Consider the following 10480-nt stretch of genomic DNA (forward strand, 5'->3'; position numbering starts at 1 on the left):
GAAGGAGTGGGGATACACATGGCAGTGAGGGAAACAGAAATCTCAGGTAAAGATTAGTCAGCTTGATTGTCAGTCTTCACCAGCATTGAACTGTGGCTTATTCAGGATCCAAGGAGGATCTAGCCATCTGGTTGGTTACCCTGTGGCCTCCTCAATGGGAATCACTTTTCTAGAGCTCTGCTGTTAGCATGACCCAGGTGCTGTTCGTCTCTGCTTCTCTTGGGTTCCTTCCTTCCTTCTTTCCTTTCTTCCTTGTTTGCTTCCTTCTTCCTTTCTCTCTTTCTTTCATAGCTTTGTTAAGGTATAATTGACATATTTAAAATTCAGTTTGAGGTTGGCACAGTGTAATCCCAGCACTTTGGGAGGCCGAGGCAGGCAGATCACTTGAGGTCACGAGTTTGAGACCAGCCTAGCCAACATGGCGAAACTCTGTCTCTACTGAAAACACAAAAATTAGCGGGGCACAGTAGTACATGCCTGTAATCCCAGCTACTCGGGAGACTGAGATAGGAGCATTGCTTGAACCCAGGAGGCAGAGGTTGAAGTGAGCCAAGACAGTGCCACTGCACTCCAGCCTGGGCAACAGAGCAAGACTCTGTCTCTAAATAAATAAATAAATAAATAAAATTAATTTTCATAGTTTGGACATATGTATATACCCACAAATCTATCATCACAATCAGAAGAATGAACATATCTGTCACTACCAAAATTTCCTGAACCTTTTTCATCCCACTCGTCTGCCCTTCCCCACCCCCCCCCACCCCCATTCCCTGTACACATGCAATTGCTGATCTGTTTTCTGCTGCTAGAAATTAGGTTGCATTTCCTAGCATGTCTTATAAAAGGAATCATACAGTCACTCCTTTTCACTGTTTTTGTTTTTTTTACCCAGCATACTGATTTTGAGATTTATCTATGATATTTTGTACGTCCATTACTTTTTACAGCTGAGTAGTATTCCTTTGTGGGGATAAACAACAATTTTTTCAGCCATTTACCTGTTTATAACTATTTAGATTGTTTTCAGTTTGGGGCTATTATGAATAAAACACTATGAATATTTGTTTACAATTTCCAAATAGACATATCCTTTCATTTTGGTTAGTAGATACCTGAAATGAGGCAGCTAAATCACTTAGTAACTGCATATTTACATTTTGTAGAAACTGCCAAACTGTTGTACCATTTTACATTCCCATCAGCCATGTGTGAGAGTTCCATCTGTTCCACACCTCCACCAACACTTGGTATGTCAATACTTGTAGCTTTAGCCATGCTAATAGGTGTGATGGTATTTACTTGTGATTTCAGTTTGCATTTTCCTAATGAATAATGATGTTGAGCATCTTTTCAAGTGCTTATCTGCCTTCCACACATCTTTGGGGAGATATCTGTTCAAATCTTTTGTTCATTTTTCTATTGGGTTGATCTTTTCTTACTAATGTGTTTTGAGAATTCTTTATATATTTTGGATATAAATCCTTTCTCAGAGATGTGATTTGCAAATATCTTCTTCTAGTCTGTGGTTTATCGTTTCATTCTCATACCAATGTCTTTTAAAGAGCAGATGTTTTTAGTTTTGATAAAGTCCAGTTTATCAGATTTATTATGGCATGTGCTTTTGGTGTTATAGCGAACATAGTTTGTTTAACTCAAGGCCACTAAGATTTTTGACTGTTTTCTTATATAACTTTTATAATTTTTGCTTTCATATTTAGGTGTATGGTTAATTTTTAGCTAATTTTTATATATGGCATGAGTTATGGATTGGTGTCCATTTTGTCATATATGAATATACAACTGTTTCAGCACCATTAGTTGGAAAGACTATCCTTTGAATTGCTTTTATCAAAAATCTATTAACCAAATATGTGTAGGTCTATTTCTGCAATCTCTATTCTGTTCTATTGACCTATTTGTCTGTCTTGGTACTAATTCCATACTATTTTGACTACTGTAGTTTTAAAATAATTTGTAACATTGGGTATTGTTTGTCCTCCAAATCTGCTCCTCATTTTCAAAGTATTTTAGGCTATTAAACAAAACAGCCTGTTGGGATTTTGGCCGAGATTGCATGGAACCTATAGATTAATTTGGAGAGAATTGTCACCTTAATAATATTGTCTTTCAATCCATGAAAGAGTATATCTCTCCATTTATTTACATATTCTTACATTTCTCCCAGCAATGTTTTGTGGCTTTCAGTGCACAAGTTTTGAACTTCTTTTGTCAAATGTATGCCTAAGTATTTAATTTTTCTAATGTTGTTGTAGTCTTGTTTTTGTCATTTTGTTAAAGTTCCTTTTTGTTTCTTTTATTTCTATTTAAGGGTAGATTTTATAAAGCCAGGCTAGCTCTTAAAGTGCTAGCTTGAGTAGTTGTCCTAGGTCAGGAATCAGCTCAATCCAATCAGCTGTTGCTGAGTCCAGAGTTACATGGCATAGATCATGCTACTTGCCTACCTCAAGGATCAGCCTAGGGTCACTGACCCTCAGTAGGGATAGCCCTTGTCTAGCCTATTCCATACACAGCGTCAAATTATCACTAACAAATTGGTAAAAGGATTTAAACCAATTATTAATGTTGAGCTTTTAGATTTTACAGCAGGAAACTTCTCTGAGGCTGTGGGGGAGGACCAGCAAAAAAGAATCTTGTACTAAAAGTCAAGTATTTATTTCTGCTGGCATCTCTTAAATACAACCATATGGTCCTAGAGGCCAGAGTGTTACAAATTCCACCTACTACAGGAAAAATCTCAATTCCTAGGAGACCATATGTCTAATGATGTATCCCAGCCCTTTAATTTACACTTTGGTCTGTCAACAACTCTGCTTTTAACTGGTCTGCTGAGCATAAAAGGCAATACAGTCCAAGGGACACTCAGAACAAATAGCAGGTATCTCTGGTGAGCTCCTATCTTTGAGGAGAGTTGCAGTTTTTTTACTAGGCCACTACCTACCAAAATACAAGCACATCTGAAGCCCACAGCAATTTTAAAGACAGGCATTTAAAAGCCAAGTTTAAACCAAATGCCACATGTTCTCACTTATAAGTGGAAGCTAAACATTGAATACACAGGGACAGAAAGATGGGAACAGTAGACACTGGGGACTGCTTGAGGGGGCAGAATAGGTGGGGGCTGTGGGTTGGAAGGCTACCTATTCGGTACTATGCTCACTATCTCGGTGACAGGATCATTTGTACACCTAGCCTCAGAGACACACAATTTACTCATGTAACAAACCTGCACATGTGCCCCTGAACTTAAAAGTAGAAAAAAAAGCCAAGTTTACCTGGTTAATTATGATGTTTTTCAGTATAATTTCCTATTCTTTGACTCGTATTTTATTTTCATTCATTTATTCATTTATTCAAGAGATATCCCTGAGAACCACTTTGGGTCTCAATGCTAGGGTGCCAGTAGGGGTGGGAAAGAATGCCAAGTTTGTAATACAGGATTCCTGCTCATAGGTAAAAGAAACACACACTAATACAGAATGAATAAAGATACAAAGTGAAATATTTTACAGCGTGATCTGTAAAATATAAGGCACTAGGCCAGAATTTTGTTAATTTATTTTATTTTATTTTATTTTATTTTATTATTATTATTTTTTTTTTGAGACCGAGTCTCGCACTGTCGCCCAGGCTGGAGTGCAGTGGTGCTATCTCGGCTCACTGCAAGCTCTGCCTCCCGGATTCACGCCATTCTCCTGCCTCAGCCTCCCGAGTAGCTGGGACTATAGGCACCCGCCACCACACCTGGCTAATTTTTTGTATTTTTAGTAGAGACGGGGTTTCACCGTGTTAGCCAGGATGGTCTCGATCTCCTGACCTCATGATCCACCCGCCTCGGCCTCCCAAAGTGCTGGGATTACAGGCTTGAGCCACTGCGCCCAGCAATTTTGTTATTTTATAGCTCAGAAGAAGAAACAGCACTATGGAGAGTTAAGGCAGGCCTCAGAGAGGATGGAGGGGCATTTGATCTGGTTTTACAGATGAACAGGCATTCCTCTGAGGTGAGAAGACACAGTCTCTTTTGCCCATCCACTTTTCCAAAGATATTAGCTGTCATGTTGGAGGGAAACTGGAGAAGAGTATCTAGTAGAGGGCTGTTACAGATTATATTTTCCAAAGATGGCCACATCCCCCATCAAGAAATGAAATTTAAGTCCCCCCTCTTAAATATGGGCTAGGTTTTGTGACTGTTTTCAACCTATTGAGTATGGCGAACAAAACACTACTTGCAAGATTAGGTCATAAAATTCTGTTTCTGCCCTTTTCACCAGAACACTGATGTGGGAGCCCTGGGCCCCCATGTAAGCACTTCCACTGCTTTGAGGATACCATGTTGTGAGGAAGCCTAACCTAGCCCATTGAGAGACCACATAGGGAAGCCATGAGACTACAGAGAGAGAAATGCGGGGTGAGCCCCCAGCAGCTCCCACCTTAGCCATCTTTTGACTTCAAATGCATGACAGACCCCAATCCAGAACTTCTCACCTGAGCCCTTCCCAAAAGTACTGATCCATAGAAAATAGGAAAGATAAAATAATTATTGTTTCTTTAAGTCACTAGGTTTCAGGGTAATAGATTACATAGCAATAGATAACCAGCACAAGGAGAGAAGAAGTAACTTGGTTATTTCATTTTTCTCATTTCAAGTCAGATAGAGATGAGCCTGAACCCATGGTGCAAAATGGGCAGTCAGGGTAAACCAAAGGGCAGGGGCAGGATCTAGATAACTAGTTAAGGGGAGAGCACAGGACCAGGCCCTACAAAGCCTAGAGGACAAGATAGAACCACCATCGAAACAGAGTTGCTCAACTGAGACCCAAAGCAGTGACTCACACACAGCGGGCAGTCAGGAACCTAGCAACTCAAATCAGGTGACAAAGTCACATGACAATAATCAAGAAGTGAAATTTGAAGACGAAAAAGAAGTATGACTTGACACTCAGTTGCGAATCTTTGGCTATAGTATTTCTCTCAACTAGAGAATCCAGAATGTTCTTGGTATCTGGAGTGGACTGGGCTATGATCTCACCTGTGTGGATTAGATGGTAACAGGATCAGTGTCTGATGCCAGACAGGTTATTTCCTTCTCTGCAGCTCTGATAACTGTCCTCCACCTACCATCCAGCAAAGGGCAAAAAAGAAGAGTCCACAACGGATGTCTAAAAGAAAATTGAGAGAAAGTAGAAGGGATCATGGATGGTATCCTGAAATAGTTTGTATTCACTAAGAAATCAAATTAGGTATGCACCCCTAATCTGGCAACAGTTATCAAAACATCCCTGGAAATATTTTTCAAAAACAGAACAGTATGCAAACATGTAAGTAACATAGAAGAATGACGACTCCAACAATGTTCACAACAGCTACATCCACAGCTGAAAAGAGAACAACCAACAATCTAATTAAACAACAGATTAACTGAATTGCAGAATACTATGCAGTCTGATTTGTCAGGCTTGGTTTGGTTTTGTTTGCTCTTAAGATGGGGTCTCACTCTGTCACCCAGGTTGGAGAGCAGTGGCATGATCACAGCTCACTACAGCCTCTACTTCCCAGGCTCAAGCATTCTCCCACCTCAGCCTCTCCAGTAGCTGGGACTACAGGTATGCACACCCCCACACTTCCTGGCTGATTTTTTTTTTTTTTTTTTTTTTTTTTTTAGAGATGGGCTCTCACTGTGTTGTCTAGGCTGGTCTTGAACTCCTGAGCTCAGGTGATCCTTCCACCTTGGCCACCAAAAGTGCTGGAGTTACAGGCATGAGCCACCACACCCGTGTTTGATAAAATGAACGAATATTCCTGAGATTTTTTTTACTTGAAAAAAAAGCTTCTTAAAAGCAAGGTTCTAGTTCTCCGTATCTTTAAACATGTCTGTAACAATTCCTGTGGCAGCAGGGCCTCAAGAAATGTTGGTTGGAGAAGTGAATTCTATAGTTCACTTTCAGTGAAGACATTCTTTGTGCTAGGCTTTAGGTTCTTTCTACAGGTAAATCTATAGGAGTTAGCAACTAGTCTCATCTCTGTTTTGCAAAGGTGAAAACAGGGGCAGAGTGGCAAGTGGTAGTGCTGGGACAGGAAGGGACAGGCAGCCTGGCTCCATGCACTGTATAGCCTCTCATACTAGATGACTCTAAAAACAAGTGATCTGAAAAAATGTCATAAAACTAAAATTTAGTTTTTTCCTTACCAAGACCTTACCCACACACCATTAAGAAAAAAATGTTGCCTGTCCAACGTAGTGAAAACCCCTTCTCTACTAAAAATACAAAGATTAGCCGGGCCTGGTGGTGGGTGCCTGTAATCCCAGCTACTCGGGAGGCTGAGGCAGGAGAATCACTTGAACCCGGCAGACAGAGGTTGCAGTGAGCCAAGATCGCGCCATTGCACTCCAGCCTGGGGGACAAGAGCGAAACTCTGTCTCAAAAATAAAATAAAATAAAATAAAATAAAGAAATGTCGCTTATTATATCTCATGATTATTGATAACAAACATTCCAGTACTATGGGCAAGGAGAATGGAAGCAGATTCCAGAATTAAGGGAGAGAGGGGAGGGACCCTAGGAATATTCTTTATTAACAATATTCATGTTTTCAGTGGCCAGAAATAAAGAAAGCAAACAGGGAAAATAAAACAGGAGAAAAAAAGGAAAACAAACTTGTCATTAGGTAATTTGGAATCATTATATAGGAAAAAAGATATCTGTAAAAAATAGTTTAGTGTATTATTCTGAGGTCTTCTACTTCTGGATCTATTTTATCTCCCTATCTTGTATGCATTTGTTTCAGCACCTATTACATGGGCATAATTCGTTTATAAATTAACGTAGGCCTGTTGAGGAAATTTTAAAAAATCTTACCATCAAGAATTAAGATGAAATGAGAAGAGAGAAATAGCTGATCACCTCCTTCTCAAGGGATTCTGTCTCATGCTGTTTCTCAGCTGTTTCTAGCCTTGAGTTATACCCCCAACTCTGAAACAGGATTAATACTACCTGAATTTACCATTTGAAATGGGACCGGTGATAGCAAGTCCTTATTTCCCTCGCACACCTCCCCTTTTCTCTGACAGCACGGGAATTCGGACTGATTTGAAGTGTGGGCGGTGGGAGAGTGGGAAGTGTTAACCAAAATCTCTCCTCCCCCAACTTCTGCATGGCGCTACTGCATATATTATGCCCCCCTGCTGCTCACCATACCGTCCAAGCCAAGAGCATACAGAGCTTCTTGATGTGCTTTAATTCATTTCTCCCTTCACTCTCACACTCAAAAGGAAACGGGTAAGGTTAGGTAAAATTGCTACTTAATGAGGGGTTACTGAGTGTGTAATTGCTCCCAGAGTGTTTTTAGAGTAATAGTCCGCTGGTAGGAGCCAAGCTTGCTATAAAGAATCTTGCTAAACTGCCCAAAGATTGTAATTCCATTCACTGGTGGTTATTTGAGTAACATACCAAAGACTAAGGAGCATCATTTATTAAAAGCCCTTTGCGGCCGGGCACGGTGGCTCACACCTGTAATCTCAGCACTTTGGGAGGCTGAGGTGGGTGGATCACTTGAGGTCAGGAGTTCGAAACCAGCCTGGCCAACATGGTGAAACACCATCTCTACTAAAAATACAAAAATTAGCTGGGCCTGGTGGGTGGGTGCCTGTAATCCCAGGTCCTTGCGGGGCTGAGGCAGGAGAATCGCTTGAACCCGGGAGGCATAGGTTGCAGTGAGCTAAGATCGGGCCACTGCACTCCAGCCTGAGCCACAGAGCAAGACTCCGTGTCAAAAAAAAAAAAAAGTCCTTTTCTCTCACCTCATCTCAAGCAGTTCAGCAAATTCAGACGTTCAAGGTTTCCATCCTTGAGTTGTGGAGTGATGGGTACTGAAGTCAGTGCTGAGGTGCCTCTAGAAACTTCCTTCCAGCTGTAGAATTTACTAGGAAGTAGATGCATTCTTTGTCAGCGTTTTTTAGACAGAATCACTACACTATATTATTTTTTTAGAGCTTAAGGGAGCTTAGGATCATGATTGCATTCGTGTGCCCTATTTCACAAACGAGGTCAGCTAGCTGGGAGGACAGTTAGTTCGGCTGACTGCTAGCCTACTGCTCTTACCATTTTCTCCCAAGACAGAGGCATGGCATAACCTGATCTGTAATGAGGTGGCCCAGGAGGGATGGGCACACAGTTGGCATTGACAGGTAAGCTTCTGCTCACGTTCTCACTTGGTATTCATGTTTCTCTTGGTGGAAACTCTGCCATTTTTCCATAGTCCTAGAGTTGGTGTGAGGTTTGTTTTTATTTTATGTTTTCTCCCACCTTATAGCTTTCAAATCTTTCCCTTCAAGGCTATGGCCCAAATGTGCCAGGGGAAGACTGTCCAAACCTCCGTTTTCCCACAGAGGCTAGCGGAAGCCATGCAGGGCTGTCATTAGACTCCCTGAGCCGTGGTTAAATTACCTGAGGAGCGGTGCCCACTCCGGAAGTGGGTGCACTTAGACTTCCGTTTGTTTCCTCAAATCCGGTCATGGGATTTTTCTCTTCCTCAGAGAGGCAGCGGGATCCATTACTTCCAGTTCACCGCTTTCCCAGCACCATTTCAAATGCGCTTTGGTAAGGAGAACAAAGACAATGAGACCTCTTGGTATGCCTGCGTCTCCAGGTTGGGGTGTCTGTGAAAAAATCTCGGGGTTCTGTGGACTCTCCAGTCAGTTTCTGTGGAGTCAGAGTTAGGGGTAACCCTCGCCCTGGATCTTTGCAATTAATTTAGAAACTTGGAGAGATTTTTTTGCTTTTGGATTTTCTTTTTTTCCCCTGGGGCCACCATTCTGGGAGTTTATTGCCTTCAATTAAGTCTCTCTGCTTGTTGTAGGTGAATTACTTTTGCTCATTTTTACCGTAATTTACTCTTCAGACCCTGGGGAAACAATCGGCTCCAGGCAGCCATTTTCATCACAGCATCATTCACAAGAGAAATAACATCATCATGTGCCTGATAAAGTACAATAATATCATCTCTTGTATCCATTTTGTGAACTATCCACAACATTTTTAATCCTTTTATGTAACTTACTGTGACTCAAGCTACCACCTATGGGAATGTAAGCTCACTGGGGGCTCGCTGGGGACCTCCTCTTATTTGCCACTTTTTCCCAGCAGTATGTACAGTGCCTGGAATGTGTGGGCAGTTCACAAGTTGGTCGAATTAATAATAGACAAGTATTCGGGTTACATTACTAATTATTTTTAAATCATATGGAGTATGAAATTTGAGAAGAGAAGTAAGTGGTCTGGTGATTTGGCTTACACATTTCACCACTCACCTTTACTAAGATGGAAAATTAAATGCTATCTGTAGGTCCACAGTCAGAAAGAAAAAAAGTGATAAATAAGGACAGGTTGGAAAGACTTATGAACTAGCATTATAACGGTTCTCTCAAAGCTCTTTAAAAAAAACACACACACACACACACACAGTTTTGCACTGTTGCACATGCTAGAGTGTAGTGGCACCATCTCAGCTCACTGCAACCTGAGCCTCCCGGTTCAAGCAATTCTCGTGCCTCATCCACCAGAGTAGCTGGAACTACAGGCACGCGACACCACGCCCAGCTAATTTTTGTACTTTTGGTAGAGACGGGGTTTCGCCCTGTCGGCCAGGCTGGTCGCAAACTCCTGGCCTCAAGGAATCCGCCCACCTACACCTCCCAAAGTGCTGGGATTACAGGCGTAAGCTCTTGGCTCACACTGAAGGCTCTTTTGATTATCAGCAGCACACCCTACTCAAAGTAACTCAAATGAAAATGGAAGGTGAGAGTTAGTTGTAATGCTACAGCAACCTCACAGACACCAAAAAGTAGAAATGAAATTTAGTTGGACATTATGCAAACCAGAGCATGGCGAGCAGAATAACCAAGATTTCTCTGAGCAGAATAACCAAGATTTCTCTATGTGGCTTTTCTCATTTATGCATCTCAGAGTCAGGTCCTTCATCTTTCTCTCACCTGCCTTCCTCTGCCTACTCATCTTACATAACATAGCGCAGCAGTGGTAACTTCAGATCCTAGGTTACATGACTTGTCTACTCTAGTGCCCATCTTTGATGATAACCTCTCTGCATGAGCATCTAAGTAAACTTATGTGACTTTGAGAAGCGCTTTAGAAGTCATAGGTAGGTAGCCAACCAATGCAGTGGTCACCTTTGAGTCAGGTGTCCATCTCCAGACCAACCTCCAGTGGCTGTGGTCATGGAAGGAGGTGGACATATTATTTAGAAAGCTTCAAGGATAAGGCCGACAATGAAATACATCTAGTACTTTTGTATCGCTGATAGTCTATGAACTCCTTGGTGTTAAGGATGTTGTTTCATTCTTCTTTGTTACATGTGGTGCCTAGTATTGGGGCTGGTACATAATAGATATTCAGCAGTTATCTGAAGAACACTAGAATGATGCATGGCTGAGAATGAACGCCCA

General features: G+C 41.5%; 1 long non-coding RNA gene across 2 annotated transcripts in view; it reads right to left on the bottom strand.

The window, feature by feature from the left end:
* Positions 1–8021, bottom strand: part of LOC105377114 (uncharacterized) — a 144240-nt gene extending 136219 nt beyond the window's left edge. The window contains exons 1-3 of one of the 2 annotated variants that reach the window (XR_940892.3): positions 7820–8021; positions 6879–6992; positions 5051–5180 (exon numbers count right to left, since the gene is read on the bottom strand). This is a non-coding gene — a long non-coding RNA (uncharacterized LOC105377114). The remainder of the gene's footprint in view (positions 1–5050; positions 5181–6878; positions 6993–7819) is intronic. The other variant, XR_001740725.2, reaches the window with a different exon arrangement.
* Between the last annotated feature and the right edge of the window lie 2459 nt (positions 8022–10480).

Source organism: Homo sapiens, chromosome 3 (assembly GCF_000001405.40).
Source record: "Homo sapiens chromosome 3, GRCh38.p14 Primary Assembly".
Taxonomy (NCBI): Eukaryota; Metazoa; Chordata; class Mammalia; order Primates; family Hominidae; genus Homo; species Homo sapiens.